Source organism: Homo sapiens, chromosome 20 (genome assembly GCF_000001405.40).
Source record: "Homo sapiens chromosome 20, GRCh38.p14 Primary Assembly".
Classification (NCBI taxonomy): domain Eukaryota; kingdom Metazoa; phylum Chordata; class Mammalia; order Primates; family Hominidae; genus Homo; species Homo sapiens.
Window position 1 is genome coordinate 4681758 of NC_000020.11, and position 22001 is coordinate 4703758.

Consider the following 22001-nt stretch of genomic DNA (forward strand, 5'->3'; position numbering starts at 1 on the left):
CTCAGAAATGTTGTCGCTACTCCCTCACCTTCCATTCCCTCTTCAATTTGCTTCTGCCCCCATTAATCCATTGAAACTGCTCTCCTCAAGTCCCCAAAAACCTCCACGTCACCAAATCCAGTGAGCACTATCCTGTCTTCACATGACTTGGCCTCTCAGTAGCTGGCTCTGCCTTCTTGAAACACCCTCCTCTCAGCTTCCAGAACCCTCTTATTTCACTGGCTGTCCCTTTTCAGTCTCTTCCTCTGGTTCAAAGTGTGGTCTCTGGCCCAGCAGCATCAGCATCACCTAGGCACTTGTTAGAAATGCAGGTTCCTGGACCCCATCCCAGACCTGCTGAATCAAATCTCTGGTCCGGGAGGGGCGAGGCAGCAATCTGTGTTTTAGCCAAGTCTTCCAGGTGATGCACACTAGAGACTGAGAAGGACTAATCCGAAACTGTGGGCATTCCTCATTACGAAATCCTGATTCCTTTCTCTTCCCTGGCTACATTTTCTCCCATGATGATGTCATCTAAGCCCGTGACTGGAAATCATCTATACTCTGACAGCTTCTAAATGTGTATCTTCAGCACCCATCTGGGGATTACACAGCCATCTCAAATTCAACATGTCCAAATGGAAGGAAGGAACTCCAGATGTTCCCTCTAAAATCTGGTCGCCATCCATTTTTTTCCATTTAAGAAAATAGCTCCACCATTCCCCCAGCTGTTTATTAAAAAAACTTAAGTCATCCACGAGTCCTCCTTTTCCCCAACTCCTTACCCTATTAGCAATAGTATATCTAGAGGGTCTATCTCTAAATTGTCATGAATCTGTCCTCTATTACCACTATAGGCCAAGCCACAATTTTCTCTCCCCAGCCCACTGCAAAAGCCTCCAGCCAGGTACTGCTCATGCCCACAAAACAACCAGAGTGGACTTTTAAGAAGGTAAATCAGGCTAAGCATGGTGGCTCACACCTGTGATCCCAGCAATTTGAGAGGCCGAGATAAGCAGATTGCTTGAGCTCAAGAGTTCAAAACCAACCTGGACAACATAGTGAGACCCCCGTCTCTAAAACAAATACAAAAATCAGCCAGGCATGGTGGCTCACGCCTGTGGTCCCAGCTACTCAGAAGACTGAGGTAAGAGGATAGCTTAAGCCCAGGAGGCAGAGGTTGTAGTGAGCCGAGATCACCCCACGGCACTCCAGCCTGGGCAACAGAGTGAGACCCTATCTAAAAAAAAAGAAGAAGGTAAATCATGTCGCATCATTCCCCTTCTTAAATCTTCAAGGGCTTCCTATCATATTTAATTATTAAAACCCAAACATCTGTCATGGGCTGTCAGGCCCTATGGTCACTGTCTGTATGGCTTCCTGTATCCTCTTTGAGGTCTGAAGTCAGAGACTGTAACTATTTAATTCACACTAAGTGCTCAATAAAGTGGAGGAAATAATTCTCCTTTTGTGAGAAGATGAATTTAGAGTCTAACTTCTTTAGTTTCTCCTTACTTGCTGAGGAGGATCTATATGATGTGGTCAAATCACTTTCAGCCAGGACACAGGAGATGGGAAGGGAGACTTCCAAAGAATGACTTGATGATGCTGTGAACCTCAGCACAATAGGGCTCTGTGGGCAAACACAGTAGGGTTTGACCTCCAAGGACAAACCCTACACCCCACTCCCCACCCAGTCCGGAAAACGACTTTCACTGTTTATAGTGAGATATGGGTGGTTGTGGTCATGGGAGAGGCAATGGGAGTGAGTTTGGAATGAGGAATTATGCAGGGCCATTTGAATAGCCACTTCCTGTGGGTTGCCCACCCTTGGAGTGGTTCATAAGGTCAATAAAAACCTCTAAGAATCCATAGGCCAGACCATCAACCCCATTGTGGCAGCTTTTAAAACTGGCAACAAGGTCTTTGATACTCTTCCCATTGAGGAGTGGGCTCCATGTCCTCTGTCCTTGAATCTGGGGGCTATATGACTTTTTTTTTTTCTTTTCTGAGACAGAGTCTCGCTCTGTCGCCCAGGCTGAAGTGCAATGGTGCCATCTTGGCTCACTGCAACCTCTGCCTCCCGGGTTCAAGCGATTCTCCTGCCTCACCCTCCTGAGTAGCTGAGATTACAGGTGCGCATCACCATGCCTGGCTAATTTTTGTATTTTTAATGGAGACGGGGTTTCACCATGTTGCCCAGGCTGGTCTTGAACTCCTGACCTCAAGTAATCCATGGGCCTCGGCCTCCCAAAGTGCTGGGATTACAGGCATGAGCCACCGCGCCCGGCAATGGGGCTATATAACTGTTACGTCAACAGCATACAGTGGAAGTGATGCTACCTGACTACTGAGCCCAGGCAGGAAGTGGCATTGCAGCTTCTTGTTTGCTGAAACTCTCACACTTGGAGTCCTGAGCCAACATGTAAGAAGTTCATCCAAGCCGAGACCACCAGACCATGAGGAAACCAGGCCACACAGAGAAGCCGCAGCTAGGCACCGCAATCAGCACATCTGATCTTCAAGTCCTCCTAGCCCAGGTGCCACTCAGGCAAGTGCATAGGCTTCAGATGACTGCAACCCCCGGCTATCAAGGTACCCCTAGACTTAGAGTCTTCTCAACTGACACCCCAAACATAATGGGGCAGAATCAAGTCCCCGCTGTGCCTGTCCAGCTCCCTGGCTTAAACAATCCATTGGCATAATAAAATGGTAGTTGTTTTAAACCACCTAAGTTGTGGGGTATTTGCAGCACATCAGTAATAACCAGAATAGGTCATAAGTCAATCCCCTTTGGTTCCCTAGTTCTTTCCCTCCAAGAAATCCCAGGCCATTTGAGCCCTTTCCTGATGGGAGGAAAGCAGTCGACCAGAAAATACAATTCTTTTGAGGAAAAGATGGGTTTTAGCGTCTTGGAACCAAGCTTCACAGAGCGCCTTCTGCCAGTGGGCAGCCAGCCCCTTGCCTAGGCTGATCTGGTCACCTACTTCCAGCCCCACCCCAGCTCTGTCCTCCCACCCAGCTCTGTCCTCCCTGCAGGCCCTGAGCCTCTAGGAGACTCAAAGAGACACTGTGCTGCCCGCTGAATTCATCTCCCAGTGAGCCATCTCTGAGGAAAGGAGGTAAGGCTCTGAATGCGATGTCAACCTAAGCATTACATAACACTGATAGGTTGTAAAATGGCCTCGCTGCCTAGTGCTCATTCTAACTGGCCACAATCCAGTCCTCCCTGTTGCACTGAGTCAGCTCCCTCCAAAGGCGGCGCTTTCCAGGCCTCCTGGTTGCCCTTTCCCAGCAGACCTTTCAAGTGCTCACCCACACTCACATAAACATGGCCCAGGCACTGTTTACAGCAGCTCTCCTCTGTGCATTCTCCTGGCTTCTCCTGTCTCTCGCCATTTGTACCCCTCCCCTGCAACTTGAGTGACAGTGATTGGTCCTGAGATGCAAATATTTGATGCACATATGTTTACAATGCAGCCTCAGCTTTTTTTTTTTTTTTTGTAAAGAGACAAAGAGTGAGACAGGGTCTTGGCCTATAGCCCTGTGGCCCAGGCTGGAGTGCAGTGGCACAATTAAAGCTCACTGCAGCCTCTACCTCCTGGGCTCAAGCAATCCTCCCATCTCAGCCTCCCCAGTAGCTGGGACTACAGGACTGTGCCACCGTTCCCAGCAATTTTTTTTATTTTTTGTAGAAATGGGGTCTCACTATGTTGCTCACTCTGGTCTCAAACTCCTGAGCTCAAGCAATCTTCCTGCCTTGGCCTCTGAAAGTGCTGGGATTACAGGCCTGAGCCACTGCACCTGGCTGTCAACATTCTTAAATCTCTTTCCTTACATGCTTCCTAAACCTCTCACCCAAAACTAGGAGACTAGATGTCCTATTTTCCCCAGGGCATGCCTGGTTTACGCCCATTTCACTTTAAAAGTGCCCAATTTGGGTAATAATTTATAAGATCCCCCTCCCTCTAAATCCTGTCCTTCTATCACTTCATCCTTCGCTCTCCTTTAAAATGAGACAGTTGTCAGCAGGAATCCTGCGCAAGAACACACCACCCTGTTTCATAGAAGATATCTCAGGTAATGTGCAAACACGGGTTTTTAAACGGAGCGCATTTTTCTCATTTGTTAATATCACCACCTAAATCATCTCTTGCCTAAAACAAGGAGTAGAAAGTGAATGAAGGAAGGAACAGGTGATGGTCAGTGTCCTTTCTACGCCTCAAAATTTAAGAGTTTATGTGAAAATTCATAAATATTAATCTCAATCCAGGTTAAGCAAAATTTTTTGCTCTCCTCTTTAGAAATTTCTGGTTGCCAAAGTTCCAGAAATTGCTTCCTCATTCCTGAGCCTTTCATTTTCTCGATTTCTCCATTATGTAACGGGGAGCTGGAGCTTTGGGCCGAATTTCCAATTAAAGATGATTTTTACAGTCAATGAGCCACGTCAGGGAGCGATGGCACCCGCAGGCGGTATCAACTGATGCAAGTGTTCAAGCGAATCTCAACTCGTTTTTTCCGGTGACTCATTCCCGGCCCTGCTTGGCAGCGCTGCACCCTTTAACTTAAACCTCGGCCGGCCGCCCGCCGGGGGCACAGAGTGTGCGCCGGGCCGCGCGGCAATTGGTCCCCGCGCCGACCTCCGCCCGCGAGCGCCGCCGCTTCCCTTCCCCGCCCCGCGTCCCTCCCCCTCGGCCCCGCGCGTCGCCTGTCCTCCGAGCCAGTCGCTGACAGCCGCGGCGCCGCGAGCTTCTCCTCTCCTCACGACCGAGGCAGGTAAACGCCCGGGGTGGGAGGAACGCGGGCGGGGGCAGGGGAGCCGCGGGGGCCGAGTGAGGACCCCGGGCCTCGGGTCCCAGGCGCAAGGGTGCCCGGCCGGGCGGGGTCGGGACCCCAGTGAGGAGGGGCCGGGGGCTGCCCCGCGGGCGCGTGACGCGTCTCGGGCCTGCCCGGCTGCGCTGGTCTCCGCTCGGGTGAGGCGGCTTGGCTTCGCTTTTCAGGTTAGGAAAGCTCCCTTTACTGCGCGTTGGGGGGCTGGGGGAGCTGGCGGAGCCCCGTTAGGGAGGTCGGTGGCGCCGGGGTGTCTCAGCGCCCCCTGCACCCCGCGCGGGTCCGGCCCAGCGGGCGATCGCTGGCGCCCAGGGAACTCCGGGAGGGCCGCCAGCGGGCTCCGCAGGGCGCGGGGCGGGGAGGGGCGCCTGGGGGCCGCGGGGCTCGCGCTCCCCGCCCGTTGGCCGCCCCTCGGAGGCCGAGATCGGGGCCCAGAACGCCCCTTGGCAAGGCCTGGCGCTTCCGCGATGCCCAGAGGGTGCTTGGGGGGATGGAGAGAGGGGCGCCCGCCGGGGGAGTTCCGGGAGCCTCGGTGCCTCCCGCCGCAGCTGCAGCGTTCCTCCCGGGAGGCGGCCCAGCCCTTCATCCTCGCCGCCTGAGCTTCTCCGAGGGGGGCTGCAGCCTTGCGGCCGTTGCCACCGCCTGGAGAAGCGGCCCACGCGGACTGACGGGCGGGGGCGGGGCCTCGGGCCTCGGCGGGGGCGGGGTCCGGGGAGGCCCCACCCTCTGTTCTCCAGGGGCGGGGAGAGAGGAGCTGCAGGTCTGCGGCCTGGCCCCAGGTGCGATGGCGGACCCCAGCTTGGCCAGTCACATTCCTCCCAGTCCCCCTGGAGGGAGAACGCTGGCCATGGGGGGCTCCAAGGAACAACCAGCCTCGGATGACGACCCTTGGGTCACCGGTCTCCCCACCTGTGCGGCAGGCGCCTTCACGTTTCATTATTAAACAATGGGGAGAAATCCATGTTTACTGTCCTTTTTAAGGAATTTTTTGCTCTTCTCTTTGAGGTGGCTGTAGGAAATAGATTTTTTTTTTAACCTCGCAATTCCACCACGGTCACATCCATCCTCGCCATCGCAGAGCCACAGCTCTCCGTTTTTGTTTCCTAGCCTCCAGATTCTCACACAACACAGTGCAGTTTCACTGCTGTAATGATGAGGATCTTCATGGCCGCGTTATTTTCTTGTTCTGAGAGCATCACGGTTTAATTAGCAGTTCCCCATATGATTTGAAGTGTTTCCCGTTTCCTTAGGGAAAACTCCTGGTAGAATAGGATTAAGGATTTTTACAAATATAATTATCAAAAACATAGGAACAGGGAATTGGATAAATATGTTAAACTTCTGGAAAAATCAACAACGCTCTTAGATTTGTAGAAGAAAGGAAAAAATCACCAGTGGAAAGGAGCAATTTTACTTACACAAACACAGAGAAGGTCTTACAGTGAAAAAAAGCTAACCAGTAAGGGGAAAAGCAGGCAGAGGGGTAGGATGTGATTTGTATGTTATTTATATCTAACACAAGTCTTCCACACCGAAAGGAAAATATTAAGATTATAATAGATAAATGGCAAAATGATGAGTCATTTACACAATAAAATGCAAATTAGAGCATGTTTGGGTTATCATTTTACATCTATTAAAATAACCAAAATAATTAATAGTAACAGCAACCCTTGCTGGAAGGTTGCCCAAAACTTGGCATTTTCAAGTGTCTGGGGAGGTGGCAGGGCTTTGGGGTCACAAAGATGGTTCTGCAGTCAATTTTGTGACCTTGGACAGGCTACCTAATTTCCTGATCCTCCTTTTGTCCATTCATAGAATGGAGGAAATGATAGCTACTTTCTGCGTCTGTATGTATGAGTTATTGGGGGCATTTCGAACCAGTGACAAACATTTTGTTAAGCAATCTGGTGATGCATTAAGAAGCTGGAAGCTGTGACCCAGAAACCCCACTCCTGAGAACTTACCTGCAATGGAAGAAACAAACAAACAAAAACAGGCATGTATTCCTAGCAGAATGATCTAAAATTAGAACACCTGGAAAAGAGCCTAAATGTATAACACCAGGGCAGTAGCTAAGAAAATTATGACACATTAACTGAAATGAACATTATGTAACCACTAAAAATCATGATTTTGGAGCCTGTGATATGTGGGGAAAAACTGACAAGTAAAAAAGTGGGTTATTAACTGCACCTGCTTACTCTAACGTGAACGCATATGTGAAAAATCTGAAAGGAAAAGCACAGAAAATGGACGTTTTCATTGAAATTGTCGGTGATCTTAATTTTCCTTTGGTGAATATATTGCTCTCACTAAGGGCGTTTAAAAAATAGTTCACAGGTTTTAATTTTTTAGATGAAATGGACCCACAGTTTTCTGTAAGAGAAAGGAGAGATTGTTATATTTGCTACTTAGAATAAAAGATTTTTAGCCAACGTTGTTTCCTTTTTCAAATATTTTTCCATTTTTTTAGTTGATTAATGATTTAGTAATTTGTGTATTGGGTTTTTTTAAGAATCAGTTCTTAGATTCATTTATCAATTCTAGTTTTTTGTTGTTGTTTTTAAGGACTCCTGAATATTTTTCAAAACTGAACAATTTCAGCCATGTCTGAGCTTTCCGTCTTCCTGGAGGCACAAATCTAGTTTAGCTGAACCACAACAGATTGTACATATCCTGCAGAACCTCTGTGGTCTTAGGAAGGTTGAAAGTCACCAAATGTCACAGAAAATGAGGGTCAGGAAAGGCTGTGATCACAAGCTCTTGATCCAGAGGCCACTCGGGTGCATCTGTGTGACTGACACCTCATTGCATCATCATTTCTTGTAAAATCAGCTTAATTTTGCAGAGAAATGGCCACAGATTTTTAGAATTATGCTGAATTATGTAAGGGAGCAGCCATTTTAAAAATAATGTAATCAAATAACAATAATAACATAACAGAAGTTTCTGCACCACACTGACACTGAACATGGCTGTCAACCAACTAGCCAAACCAAGGTGAAAGATTCTCTGAACTTCAGTTTTAACTTACTTCGTCCATTCTCCCTTTTCAGATCTTATTTCTTCTTCCAAGGCAACTATATCCACTGTGAACTGCTGCATATTAAACATTCAAAACATGTCTGTATCTAACCCAGTGATGGCTACAGCATTATAAAATAACTCCTAAGTGAATAGTGTGTGCAGCAATTCTCACAGCTAGGAGAATTTTTTTTGTCGATGTGTTAACCATTCCTTTTTCTCCAACTGCATTCTACTTAAACTGTTACAGTATTGTGTGATCACTTTAAGGGAGGTAATCCTTCAGTGAAAAGCATTATAAATGTTGAAGATTAGACCCCTGAGGACCTAGCACTGAAGCCTGATCACGGGTGCCAATTCCCTGAGAAGCTTTTATAGATTCCCAAATCCCATCGCTAGGCACTCTCTGACTGGCTTGTGATGGGTTCCAGCAATGTTGTTTTTTAAAAGCTCCTCAGGTAATTCTGATCATGGACCAGGTTGGGGACCCTTTGCTCTGTTCAGTTTGTGGTTTCTAGGTGCCAGTGAGAAACCCCTACCCCCAATTTTTGTGCAAAATTTTTTTCAGCTTACATCAAGTTCTTTATGAACCTCAGAAAATTAAAATATAACAAGGGAATTTACTTAGCTCAGAAGAGACAAGGGACATTATGGGGTGAAGGTCGGGGGTTGTTTGACATTTGCCCCTTCCCGATGTAACTAATTAAGCTTCAAGTTGTAATGTGTTTTATGGGCTAGAAGGCTTTAGTGCCTATATTTGGATCTCAGCTCCAACACCTTGGACTCTTACAACCTTGGGATAAGTTCTTACTAGCTCTGACTCTCACTCCCCATCTATAAATGGGAATAAGATGAACGGGGTAATTTATAGATTTTTTAGTACCCTCTCTCTAGTTCCGCTGTTTTGCCATTCTGCTCATGCACCAATGCCATGTGATCTTATTGTAGCTTTGCACTCTGACACCTGGCAGGTCAAGTGCACCCTTGATTATCTTCTCATTAAAAATTTTCTTCAGTCTTTTAAGTTTTGAGTATAATTTCATAATGTCTTTTAAAATCTCTTTTGAATTCTTTTTCAAATTTATTTATTTTTTCTTTGACAGATAAGATTATATGTATTGTGTACAAAATTAGAAAGAGATCTTTTCCTCTAAGATCTGAAACAAGACAAGAATGCTCACACGCACTAGTTCTATTCAACATATGGTACTGCAAGTCCTAGCCAGGACAGTTAGACAAGAGAAAGAAATAAAAAGCATCCAAATTTGAAAGGAAAAAGTTAAATTGTTCCTATTTGGAGACGACATGATTTTACACTTATAAAACCCTAAAGACTCCACCAGAAAACCATTAGAACTAATAAATTCAGTAAAGTTGCAGGATACAAAATTAACATACAAAAATCAGTAGTGTTTCTATATGCCAACAGTGAACTATCAGGAAAGAAATAAAAAGAAAGTGCCATTTACAATAGCTACAAAATAAATATTTCAGAATAAATTTAGCCAAGAAGGTGAAAGATCTCTACACTGAAAACTATAAAACACTGATGAAAGAAATTCAAGGAGACACAAATAGAAAGATAGCCTGTGCTCATGGGGGGATAATTAATGTTGTTAAAATGTCCATACTACCCAAAGTGACCTACAGATTCCATAGAATCCCTATCAAAATACCAATGACATTCTTCACAGAAATAGAAAAAACAATCCTAAAATTGGGTGAAGGTGGCATCTTTGTCTCGTTTCAGATCTAAGAGGAAAAGCTCTCAATTTTTCACCATTAAGTATGATGTTAGCTGTGACCTTGTCATATGTGGCCTTTATTGTGTTGAGGTACAATGCTTCTACACCTAATTCATTGAGAGTTTTTATCATGAAAGAATGTTGAATTTTGTCAAACGCTTTTTCTGCATCTATTGAAATGATCGTATGGTTATTGTCTCACTCTGTTACTGTGATGTATCACACTTATTGATTTGTGTATGTTGAACCATCCTTGCAGCCCTGGGATGAATCCCACTGTATCATAGTAAATGATCTTTTTAATGAGCTGTTGAATTTGCTTCGCTAGAATTTTGTTAAGAATTTTTGCACCTATGTTCATCAGGGATATTGGCCTATACTGCCATTTTCTTGTGTGTTTTTGTGGGACTTTGACATCAGGATAATGCTGGTTTCTCCTGTTATTAATTTCTAGTTTTATACCATCATGCTTAGAAAAAAAACTTGATACGATTTCAGTCTAATTAAGTTTGTTAAGACTTGTTTTATGGCCTAACATATGATCTGTCTTGGAGCATGCTCCATGTGCTGTTGAGAAGAATGTGTATTCTGCAGCTGTTGGATGGAATGTCCTGTATTTGTCTGTTTGGATCCATTTGGTCTAAGTGAAGTGTAAGTCTGATGCCTCCTTATTTATTTTCTTTCTAAATCTCCCGTCCAAAAATCTAAGAGATCCAAAGCAAACAGGGGGTTATAAAATTACCTTTGAATTCTGACTGAAATTGTGTTTACTTTGTAGATTATTTGCTGGTGACTTGGTATCTTTCAATATTGGTTTCCCAAACAAAAAACATTGTATGTCTTTCTCTTTTTCCAGTCTTCTTTTATGTCTCAGTAAAATTTTGTAGCTTGCCTACTACTTATTTTCAGGTTAAATCCTAGATATTTTCAATTCTTACTGCCATTATGAATGAATGTTTTTCCCCATGAAATGTTTAACTACAGCTGATTTAGGGACTCACTGAGTTTTGATTTGTTGATTTGAAAAACTACCACCCTGTTGAGCTCATGTATTTATTCTAAGACATTTTTTGAGATTTTCCAGGTAAAAAAATTATACCTAGATGAATTTATAGAACAACCTAATAGCATAAAAGCAATAGATTATTGTTCACCACATTAATGGGAATGCCTTTCCTCTTAAAATTATGATATCTTGGGCTTTGTGTTTGTGACAGCATTTCTTTATGATGGAAAGAGACTATCCTTCCAGTTCTATAGAAACGTTTTAAAAATAGCTTACATTTTTAAAAATTTAGGAATGATATTGATTTTCATTGAAAACTTTTCAACATCTGAAGAAAATCTTTTCTTCCTAACCTATTAATAGAGCTCCTGATTTTCAACCATTCTTGTATTCCTAAAATAATCCATATTGGTCATAATGTATTCTTCTTTTACTAAACTGTTAAAATAAGTTGGGTGCTGTTTTTTTAGATTTTGGCACCTGTGTGAGAGGAGGGTGCCATGGCAGGGTGGCTAAGTGTGCCCACCTGTGTACTAGCATTGAATTTTGACCCTTTATCCCATTGGCTCTAAACACTACATCTCAGGTGAAGACGCCCAAATGTTTATCTCTACTGAGTTACAGATTCCTATAACAATTGCTTAAATTGATACTCCCACTTGAATGTCTCATAGGTGTGGCAAAGTTTACATGTCTATACTGAAACTCTTGGTTTTCTCTCCCAGGCATGACCCTCCACCAGTTTGTCCTATTTCAGTAGATGGCATCACCGCCATCTCCCTGGTTATGGAAGTCCCAGACCCGGGCAACTCTCACTCCTCCATCCACTCAACCAGCAGGTCTTATTGGCTCTTTCTGTAAAATATGTCTCATTTATTCACAGCCTGCTAGCTGCATGGACTCCATCCCAGGCCACGCCACCATCTTCCTGCAGCAGTTTCTTAACTGGCCTCTCCATTCCCTTTCTTGTCCCACTAAATTTTCTTCTATTTAAGAAAAAATGTTTTGTAGACATGGGGTTTCACCATGTTGCCCAGGCTGGTCTCAAACTCCTGGGCTCAAGCAATCCTCCTGCCTGAGCTTCCCAAAGTGCTGGGATTATAGGCTTGAGCTGAGCTTTTGAAAAAACATTCTATGATGTTACTGTCCTACTAAGACCCTTTAATGGCTCCCCACTGCTTTCAGAGGAAAATAGAAATTTCTCTCTGTGGACCATGAGGCCCTCATGATCTGACCCTCACCACCTCCCTAGTCTTAGCAGTCCACCTGCCACTGTCTCATGGGGCTCCACAGATTTGATCTCCTTTTTGGTCCTTAAGCCCACCAAGCTAAGTATCTTATTCAAAACTGTGTCCTCAGCCCCTAGCACAATTCTTGACCCTTAGAATTCTGACACTTGAAATGTGTGTTAAGCTAATCAATAAATTATTGTGCCAGGCTTGGTGGCACAATAATGTGTTGTGGGTCACCTATATATAGCTGTGGCTCACACCTATAATCCCAGCACTTTGGGAGGCTGAGGCCTGCAGATTGGTTGAGCCCAGGAATTTGAGACCAGCCTGGGCAACATGGCAAGACCCCATCACTATTAAAAATACAAAAAAAAAAAAAACCAGGCGTGGTGTTGCATACCTGTGGTCCCAGCTACTCAGGAGGATCACTTGAGCCCACTGGGTGGAGGTTGCAGAGAGCTGAGATCATGCCACTACACTTTGGCCTGGGTAAGACCCTGTCTCAAGAAAAAAAAAAAAAGGTTATGGTACTGTAAATATTATATTACAGTGTATAATTTTTGACAGCTTTTTTTCTCCATTTCTTCTATGGTTATTGGTCAGTTCTAGCCTTCTATTTTTTTTTTTAAGCTGACACATACTGGCTGGGCATGGTGGCTCACACCTGTAATCTCAGCACTTTGGGAGGCCAAGACAGGAAGATCTCTTGAGCCCAGAAGTTTGAGGCGAGCCTGGGCAACATAGCAAGACCCCATCTCTACCAGAAAAGAAACAACAACAAAAAGAAACTGGCACATACTAGTTATTCCATAAATATTTCTTAAATGAATTAATTCTAAAGTTGATTTTTATAATTTACATCTTAATAGAAAGACAATCCATCTCAGAGATATTTTTATTCATTAAGGAAAGTTGCATAAAGTAATTTATTAACCTTTTAAAGCATTCTCTAAGCCTATTTCCCCTTATAGAGATATGTTTTCTAGTGATGTGTGTATGTTACATTTTCAAATAACTCTTAATTTTATTTAGAAATTCCACATTTTTGTGGGTTTTATTTATTAAATTCGATTTTCATCTCTATTATTAATTTATGACAGTTTATTTTGAAGTTTTCTGTTTTCTTCCTTTTGAGTTGAATAATCATTTACTTTATTTTACTTCTTCTATTCAGTTGTATTATCCATGTTCCTCTGATAGCCATGCAGGTTCCAAATCCTCACATTTTTCAACTTCTTTAAAAGATTTTTTTTGTGCTATCCTGATAAGCGTTAAGTGTTATATCATTTTTTTTCATTTTTATTATATTCTTAATGATTTTGATTCTCTTTTTCTATCCTTTTGGTTTTCTTTCTTAGGTAAATGATCAGTTATATCTTTTGGCCATTTTTTTCTGTTGGAATTACTGTCTCTTACTGCTCTGTAAGAATTCCTTGCAAGTTCTAGAAATGAATCCTCTGTTGATTTTAAGTACTAAAGTCCCCTTTACCATTGTGTACTCTTTCTATTAACTTTGTCCAGAGTCAGCTTTATCGTGCTGAACAAGAATCTTTACATTTTAATTTTTTTTTTTAATTTTTAAGTTCAAGGGTACAAGTGCAGGTTTGTTCCATAGGTAAACTCGTGTCATGGGGGTTTGTCATACAGATTATTTCATCACTCAGGTACTAAGCCTAGTACCCATTAGTTATTTTTCCTGATCCTCTCCCTCCCTTAGCCCTCCGATAGGCCCTAGTATGTGTTGTTCCTCTGCATGCGTCCATGTGTTCTTATCATTTAGGTCCCACTTATAAATGAGAACATGTAGAATTGGGTTTTCTGTTCCTGTGTCAGTTTGCATATCCCTGCAAAGAACATGATCTCGTTCTTTTCTGGGGCTGCATAGTATTCGATAGCATATATGTACCACACTTTCATTATCCCAGCTATCACTGATGGGCATTTAGGTTGATTCCATGTCTTTGCTATTGTGGATAGTTTTGCAATGAACATACACGTGCATGTGTCTTTGTAATAGGATGATTTATATTCCTTTGGGTATATACCTAGTAATGGGATTGCTGAGTCGAATGATATTTCCGTCTTTAGGTTTTTGAGGATGTAATCAAATTCATCAATTATTTGCCTTATGGTTTGTGCTTTTTGTTTAAAAAGTTCTTCCCCCATTCCTCCTCCAGGTCACAAAGACATTTCCCAATATTTTCCTCTTCTAGCGCCAAACTTGTACCTTTCACATGTAAGTCTTGGATCCATCTAGAGTTCACTTTTGTATGTAGTTAGGGATCTAGTTTTCTTTTTCTTGTTTCCCAGAAGCATGAAACCTTCCTCCTTTATTGGTTCGTGGTGCCCATGTCAGCACACATCAAGTCCCTGTTAAAGTGTATCTACGTGGGTTTCTCTCTCAACTTGCTTTTCTGTTTCCTTTGGTCTCTCCGTCTATTCCTGAGCTTTACCGTCCAGTCTTCGTCACTGTGGTTTTGTAGTGATTTCATGTCTGCTTTGGCAGATTCCCTCCTCTTTACACTTTTTTTTTAAGGTTGACCTTATTATTCATGGACATTTTCTTCCCCATAGAAGTTTACTGAACTTCTCAAAAAATTGAGATTACCTGGAATTTTAACTGGCATTTTATTGCAACTACCAGTTCATTTAGGATAATGGACATCTTTATAATACTGAGTTATCGCCATCAAGACCATGGAATGCCTCTCCATTTTTTTCAGACCATCTTCTGTGTTCTCTGTATAATGTGTCACCCATCAGAAGTCTTTTCTTAGTTAAGTCAATTCCTAGACGCTTTACAGTTTGGTTGTTACTTTGAATATCTGTATTTTCTTCTGGTCAGTTATTGCTACTGTAGAGGAATGCCGTTGGTTTTCGTAGGCTGACCTTCAGTCCCACAACCTTGCACTCTAGCGTTGGTTCTCATGTTATCCCTGTTATTCTGTTGGATTTTCTATGTGCATGATCACACTAATTGCAAATAGTGTCAGCTAGAGCACTTTCCTTGCCATTCTTACACCTGTTACTTCTTTGCATATGGCCTTGGACAGCACCTTGAGTCCCATGACAATGGATGTCCCTGTTGTATTTCTGAGTGTATTCTTAGCATTCTTCTTAGTAATAAACAGGTATTGACCATTACCATATACTTAATAGGATATCTTGAAATATGCCAGAGGACTAGGCCACTACTTGACTGGTGACAGAGAGTATCTTAGATGTATAGGCCCCCAGACATGCCAGTGTCCTCTCTCACCACCCATCTCCACTCCAAAGTTGTCTGGCCTCACCCACCTTCTGTGCCTGGTTCTTCTCCTCTGTGCTTCTCTCACTATGCCATGTCCTCGCCTGTTCAGGTGTCTCTAAGAGCTCATAGATCCTTAACTCTTACAGCTTTAAATGAGGCACATTCAAAGCCCGACTCAGTGTCATTCCCTGCAGTCTCCTCTTCCTCCCATCTTACCCATTTCAGGTAATATCTCCAGCCAGCCAGAGTCTACTGCAGTAGCTGGCACATGAAATAAATGTTTATTTAACTGAATTGAAAATGTTAGCTGGCCATTGTCAAAAATACTATTTTGTAAATTTATAAATATGGTTCTCTTTGTATATCCATTATAAATATTTAGTATTTAGTTTGATTATTCCTTATGCTTTATAACATGTGTTTTCCCATTCATTCATTTATCCAGCATTTATTTTGCATGTCTATGGGTCAAGCGCTCTGTCTAGGAACACTGCTGTGAACAAAACCAAACTCCCGCCCTAAAGGAGCCTGCACTCCCGTGGAGAACATGAATAATAAGCACAGAGGAAATAACATAATATCTCAAGTAGCTGTAACTGCTCCAGAGAATAATGAAGCCAGGAAAGGGGGTGGGCTAGGGGGTGCTGTTTTAGGTAGAGTGATGGGAACAGCCCCACTGAGCAAACTTTAGCCACATGAGTAGCTGGAAGAAAAGCCTTCTAGGACCAGGGAACAGCAAGTGCAACAGCCCTGAGACAGGATGGGCTTGTCAGTTTGAGGAGCAGTGGGAGGCCTGAACCAGGTTACATGGGGCCCAGCCAGTATGGCCACGACTTTGTGTTTTATCCAGAGTACAAAGGAGCCTCACTGAGGGACAAGGGAAGTGGCATGATGTGACCCGCATATTAAGAGGAGAGCGCTCAATGGCAGCCAGGGGAGGAGCAGGGAGGCTGGTTGGGAGGCTGTTGAAGAAATCAGGTGAGAAGTGATGGAAGCACCGAATAAGATGGTCATGTTGGAAAAATTGAGAAGCTGAGGTGCTTAGCATTGATTTTCAAGGTAGAGCTACTGAGATTTGCTGATAGATCCAATGTATGCTGGGAGAGAAAATTCAGTCACTCTAGAGCATTGGCTGGATTTGTCACCCATTGCAGCGAATGGAGAAGGTGCTGACATAAAAGCCCTTTAGACTGAAAGCTACTGACTGAGGGGATGGTGCCCTAGTTTGATTTCCTGGGGTGTATGAGTAGCAGGGAGGCCAAGAGCTGGGCCTCACGAGATTGTGGGGACTACATCAGGGAAGCAGGCCTGCAAAGAACCTGCACCACAGACCCCCACCTAAAAGAGCCTCCAAAAACCCTAACTGGCATGACCTGAGTACTTTAACTCTGCTTGTAACTTTCAAATATATTTTGATTTGCTTATGACCACCAAGGCAAAACTTCCCATTTCAATAATGTTAGTAGAAACATAAACAGGATGTTAATTTATTTATTTGGTAATTCTTTTTATGAATATTATCCAGTTTAATCATTAGCTCTGAAGGAGATGAAAAATAATTTTCTAATTTTTAGAAAAATTTGCAGCTAATTGGGTGATAAAGGTAAGGGGTTTCTGAGTTCACAAAAATGTTCTAAAATTGGCAACAGTTTCGGTTGCACGTTTCATTAAATGTACTAAAAACCATTGAACTGTACATGGTATATGGTGAATTATATGGTATGTGAATTATATCTCAACAAGCTGGGTATTGTTTTTTTAAAAAATAAAAATAAAAAAGGAGAAAGAGAGAGAGAAAAACAATTGCAGATCATCCCAGCACTGAGGACAAGACTAACTTCAGTGTTCCAGTATATGCCATTATAGGTTTTACGGCACACAGTGATGATTTGGAGCCTATGATTTGACCTAGGGTACAGCAGGTACTGTTTAGCAATCATTTTACTATTGTCATAGGTCTCTGCTCTTGGAGCTAAGTGCCCAGGGTAAATGAGATCTTTAATTTGAAAAGAGATTTTTGATTTGATGAATGTACATTCTCCAAAGGGTCATAAATTGTCATTCTGGATGTTTGATCTGTTTGTTGTTTTGGTACAAAAATTAGAAGAAAATAATTCACTCATAAAATGTTAAATAATGAACTAAAAGTCATTCATCAAGTCCATAACTTAGGGTCACATTTGTCCTTGGAGCAGGAGAAAGAGTTGTGTTCACCCTTTTCTTACTTTTGCTTTTGTCCTAAGTGCTTCAGAGAAGTACAGGGTGGCAACAGTGTTTCTACTGAGCAGCTGATACCATTGCTATGCACTCATTCATTATGCAGGAAACATTTAGTAATTTCAACATAAATATGGGACTCTGACGTTCTCCTCTTCATTTTGCAGAGCAGTCATTATGGCGAACCTTGGCTGCTGGATGCTGGTTCTCTTTGTGGCCACATGGAGTGACCTGGGCCTCTGCAAGAAGCGCCCGAAGCCTGGAGGATGGAACACTGGGGGCAGCCGATACCCGGGGCAGGGCAGCCCTGGAGGCAACCGCTACCCACCTCAGGGCGGTGGTGGCTGGGGGCAGCCTCATGGTGGTGGCTGGGGGCAGCCTCATGGTGGTGGCTGGGGGCAGCCCCATGGTGGTGGCTGGGGACAGCCTCATGGTGGTGGCTGGGGTCAAGGAGGTGGCACCCACAGTCAGTGGAACAAGCCGAGTAAGCCAAAAACCAACATGAAGCACATGGCTGGTGCTGCAGCAGCTGGGGCAGTGGTGGGGGGCCTTGGCGGCTACATGCTGGGAAGTGCCATGAGCAGGCCCATCATACATTTCGGCAGTGACTATGAGGACCGTTACTATCGTGAAAACATGCACCGTTACCCCAACCAAGTGTACTACAGGCCCATGGATGAGTACAGCAACCAGAACAACTTTGTGCACGACTGCGTCAATATCACAATCAAGCAGCACACGGTCACCACAACCACCAAGGGGGAGAACTTCACCGAGACCGACGTTAAGATGATGGAGCGCGTGGTTGAGCAGATGTGTATCACCCAGTACGAGAGGGAATCTCAGGCCTATTACCAGAGAGGATCGAGCATGGTCCTCTTCTCCTCTCCACCTGTGATCCTCCTGATCTCTTTCCTCATCTTCCTGATAGTGGGATGAGGAAGGTCTTCCTGTTTTCACCATCTTTCTAATCTTTTTCCAGCTTGAGGGAGGCGGTATCCACCTGCAGCCCTTTTAGTGGTGGTGTCTCACTCTTTCTTCTCTCTTTGTCCCGGATAGGCTAATCAATACCCTTGGCACTGATGGGCACTGGAAAACATAGAGTAGACCTGAGATGCTGGTCAAGCCCCCTTTGATTGAGTTCATCATGAGCCGTTGCTAATGCCAGGCCAGTAAAAGTATAACAGCAAATAACCATTGGTTAATCTGGACTTATTTTTGGACTTAGTGCAACAGGTTGAGGCTAAAACAAATCTCAGAACAGTCTGAAATACCTTTGCCTGGATACCTCTGGCTCCTTCAGCAGCTAGAGCTCAGTATACTAATGCCCTATCTTAGTAGAGATTTCATAGCTATTTAGAGATATTTTCCATTTTAAGAAAACCCGACAACATTTCTGCCAGGTTTGTTAGGAGGCCACATGATACTTATTCAAAAAAATCCTAGAGATTCTTAGCTCTTGGGATGCAGGCTCAGCCCGCTGGAGCATGAGCTCTGTGTGTACCGAGAACTGGGGTGATGTTTTACTTTTCACAGTATGGGCTACACAGCAGCTGTTCAACAAGAGTAAATATTGTCACAACACTGAACCTCTGGCTAGAGGACATATTCACAGTGAACATAACTGTAACATATATGAAAGGCTTCTGGGACTTGAAATCAAATGTTTGGGAATGGTGCCCTTGGAGGCAACCTCCCATTTTAGATGTTTAAAGGACCCTATATGTGGCATTCCTTTCTTTAAACTATAGGTAATTAAGGCAGCTGAAAAGTAAATTGCCTTCTAGACACTGAAGGCAAATCTCCTTTGTCCATTTACCTGGAAACCAGAATGATTTTGACATACAGGAGAGCTGCAGTTGTGAAAGCACCATCATCATAGAGGATGATGTAATTAAAAAATGGTCAGTGTGCAAAGAAAAGAACTGCTTGCATTTCTTTATTTCTGTCTCATAATTGTCAAAAACCAGAATTAGGTCAAGTTCATAGTTTCTGTAATTGGCTTTTGAATCAAAGAATAGGGAGACAATCTAAAAAATATCTTAGGTTGGAGATGACAGAAATATGATTGATTTGAAGTGGAAAAAGAAATTCTGTTAATGTTAATTAAAGTAAAATTATTCCCTGAATTGTTTGATATTGTCACCTAGCAGATATGTATTACTTTTCTGCAATGTTATTATTGGCTTGCACTTTGTGAGTATTCTATGTAAAAATATATATGTATATAAAATATATATTGCATAGGACAGACTTAGGAGTTTTGTTTAGAGCAGTTAACATCTGAAGTGTCTAATGCATTAACTTTTGTAAGGTACTGAATACTTAATATGTGGGAAACCCTTTTGCGTGGTCCTTAGGCTTACAATGTGCACTGAATCGTTTCATGTAAGAATCCAAAGTGGACACCATTAACAGGTCTTTGAAATATGCATGTACTTTATATTTTCTATATTTGTAACTTTGCATGTTCTTGTTTTGTTATATAAAAAAATTGTAAATGTTTAATATCTGACTGAAATTAAACGAGCGAAGATGAGCACCACCTCCCGTGTCTGCAGTTGTATTTCCTGGTGCTTGCCCTGTGTTGGGGACTGTTTTGGGGGTTAATCTGAGCCAAGTGGCGCTTTCTGTCCTCCCTTCTCAAGTGATGGCCGATGGTTCACGCACTTCCCCCTGTTCCTGCCCTTGTCCTCACTTCCCAGTCACCCACTAGTTCATCTCTGCGGCTTTTGCATTTTCTCCACAAGCATCTAAGTGGGCTTAGCACTGGTAAACTGCAAAGGCACTATTGCAGCAGGAGGAACAGTCTGGGAGCTTTTTTCAGTCCTGGATTTAGAAATAGATTTTCTTGATTAAAATGAAAATTAACAAGCTCTAAAGAACTGTTGACCCTTGAACTACACAGGGATTAGAGGCACTGACCTGCCGCACAGTCGAAAATCTGCAGAGAAGTTTTTTTTGTTTTGTTTTGTTTTTTTTGAGACGGAGTCTCGCTCTGTCGCCCAGGCTGGAGTGCAGTGGCGGGATCTCGGCTCACTGCAACCTCCGCCTCCCGGGTTCAGGCGATTCTCCTGCCTCAGCCTCCTGAGTAGCTGGGACTACAGGCATATGCCACCATGCCCGGCTAATTTTTGTATTTTTAGTAGAGATGGAGTTTCACCATATTGGCCAGGCTGTTCTCAAACTCGGCCTCAAGTGATCTGCTCGCCTCAGCCACCCAAAGTGCTAGGATTACAAGCATGAGCCACCGCGCCCGGCCTGCATAGAACTTTTAACTCCCCCAAAACTTAATTGCTAATAGATTAATTGCCTGCTGTTGGCTGGAAGCCTTACCAATAACGTAAACAGTTGGTTAGCACATATTTCACATGTCATATATACTATATACTGTATTCTTACCATAAAGTAAGTTAGAGAAAATGTTGTTAAAACAATGAGGAAGGAAAAGTATATTTACTATTCACTGACTGGAAGTGGATCATCATAAAGATCTTCATCTCATCTTCCTCACATTGAGGAAGGCTGAGGAGGAAGGGGAGGGGTTGGTCTTGCTGTCTCCTGGGTGGCAGAGGCAGAAGAAAATCTGTGTCTCGTGGACTCAGTTCCAACCCGTGGTGTTCAAGGGTCACCTGTGCCTGCTTTATGCACCCCAAATCAGGCTCTAAAATAGTCTCAGGTCCTGTGAGCCTTAGTGACACACTCTTCTCAGATTCAATACCTTTGATCTGAAAGGTGACTTTGATTTGTCATAATCTTCCAACTCATTCTCTACATGTTTCGACGCACCAGCACTGTGATGTTCTTGGTTATCCTTGGCAGAAGTTTTCTCCTGCAACTAATTTGCTAAAGGCAGGGGGTAATCAGAAGTGACAGTGGTTGAAATCACAGGCCAATATCTTAGCAAACGTCTGTGTTGTAAATGGGGAAGTGCCTCTGGTGGGGTCTTCAAGGATCACTCCAGCCTGGCTAGGGAAACTCTAGGGGAGAGGCACTTGAAATTATTGTACTCATAGGTCCTAGAGAGGGAGGCATGTCATGCCAAGCAGGGGGCTGGATTGGAGGCGTGCCCAGGGATTGGGTGCAACTCAGCGTGTATGAGACAGAAAGAGAGAGAACTCCTGGGCAAGTGCCTTTACTGGGAGCCAGGATGGAGGACACAAGCACAAGGTGTAAGGGGATCTCACTGGTGTGTTTGAATGTCACTAAGTCACAGTCAGGGGAAGACAAGAAGTGGAACTTGTGGCAGGGACCAGCCTTATTACACTGGCACCTGGTTACCTGGACAGGGTGCCCACTGCCTATTTGTAGGATGTCAAGGTATCAGGAAAATATGAAGTTTTTAAAAATTTACAATATAATGCCAACCTCCTACGGTGATCAGAGGATCAGCTTTGTATTAAAGATGGAAAGATACCAATCATCACCCACAAAACTACTAAAACAGAAAGAATGACAAATACAATTCTCGGCCAGGCACAGTTGCTCACGCCTGTAATCCCTGCACTTTGGGAGGCCGAGGCAGGCAGATCACTTGAGGTCAGGAGTTCAAGACCAGCCTGGCCAACATGGTGAAACCCCCATTCCCTACTAAAATTACAAAAAATTAGCTGGGTGTGGTCGCACGTGCCTGTAATCCCAGCTACTCAGGAGGCTGAGGCAGGAGAATCGCTTATAACCGGGAGGCAGAGGCTGCAGTGAGCCGAGATCCCGCC

General features: G+C 43.7%; 1 protein-coding gene across 6 annotated transcripts, besides 7 other annotated features; it reads left to right on the forward strand.

The window, feature by feature from the left end:
• Positions 4496–5437: an enhancer, noted in NCBI's record as "H3K27ac hESC enhancer chr20:4666899-4667840 (GRCh37/hg19 assembly coordinates)". NCBI's record gives its function as "activates a minimal SCP1, AML or CMV promoter by ChIP-STARR-seq in naive H9 embryonic stem cells {active_cell/tissue: H9 hESC(naive)}" and the evidence as "EXISTENCE:reporter gene assay evidence [ECO:0000049][PMID:30033119]".
• Positions 4523–5122: a silencer, noted in NCBI's record as "silent region_12643". NCBI's record gives its function as "represses an Ori minimal core promoter by ATAC-STARR-seq in GM12878 lymphoblastoid cells {active_cell/tissue: GM12878}" and the evidence as "EXISTENCE:reporter gene assay evidence [ECO:0000049][PMID:35858748]".
• PRNP (prion protein (Kanno blood group)) lies at positions 4699–19831 on the forward strand. Of its 6 annotated transcripts, none has more exons than NM_001271561.3 (2): positions 4699–4751; positions 17454–19831. In NM_001271561.3, exon 2 carries the CDS (start codon positions 17553–17555, stop codon positions 17772–17774), a length of 222 nt encoding a protein of 73 aa, NP_001258490.1. In that variant the 5' UTR covers positions 4699–4751; positions 17454–17552; the 3' UTR covers positions 17775–19831. The 6 variants fall into 5 exon arrangements, with proteins under 6 accessions (NP_001073592.1, NP_000302.1, NP_001073590.1 ...); NM_001080123.3 differs by having other exon boundaries at positions 4699–4979; NM_000311.5 differs by having other exon boundaries at positions 4699–4755.
• Positions 5133–5292: a silencer, noted in NCBI's record as "silent region_12644". NCBI's record gives its function as "represses an Ori minimal core promoter by ATAC-STARR-seq in GM12878 lymphoblastoid cells {active_cell/tissue: GM12878}" and the evidence as "EXISTENCE:reporter gene assay evidence [ECO:0000049][PMID:35858748]".
• Positions 5353–5592: a silencer, noted in NCBI's record as "silent region_12645". NCBI's record gives its function as "represses an Ori minimal core promoter by ATAC-STARR-seq in GM12878 lymphoblastoid cells {active_cell/tissue: GM12878}" and the evidence as "EXISTENCE:reporter gene assay evidence [ECO:0000049][PMID:35858748]".
• Positions 5353–6377: a biological region, named in NCBI's record as "H3K27ac hESC enhancer GRCh37_chr20:4667841-4668780".
• Positions 5438–6377: an enhancer, noted in NCBI's record as "H3K27ac hESC enhancer chr20:4667841-4668780 (GRCh37/hg19 assembly coordinates)". NCBI's record gives its function as "activates a minimal SCP1, AML or CMV promoter by ChIP-STARR-seq in naive H9 embryonic stem cells {active_cell/tissue: H9 hESC(naive)}" and the evidence as "EXISTENCE:reporter gene assay evidence [ECO:0000049][PMID:30033119]".
• Positions 17316–18552: a silencer, noted in NCBI's record as "fragment chr20:4679719-4680955 (GRCh37/hg19 assembly coordinates)". NCBI's record gives its function as "represses an EF-1alpha promoter that drives an FKBP-Casp9 reporter gene in an ReSE screen in phorbol 12-myristate 13-acetate-treated (for megakaryocytic differentiation) K562 erythroleukemia cells {active_cell/tissue: K562(+PMA)}" and the evidence as "EXISTENCE:reporter gene assay evidence [ECO:0000049][PMID:32094911]".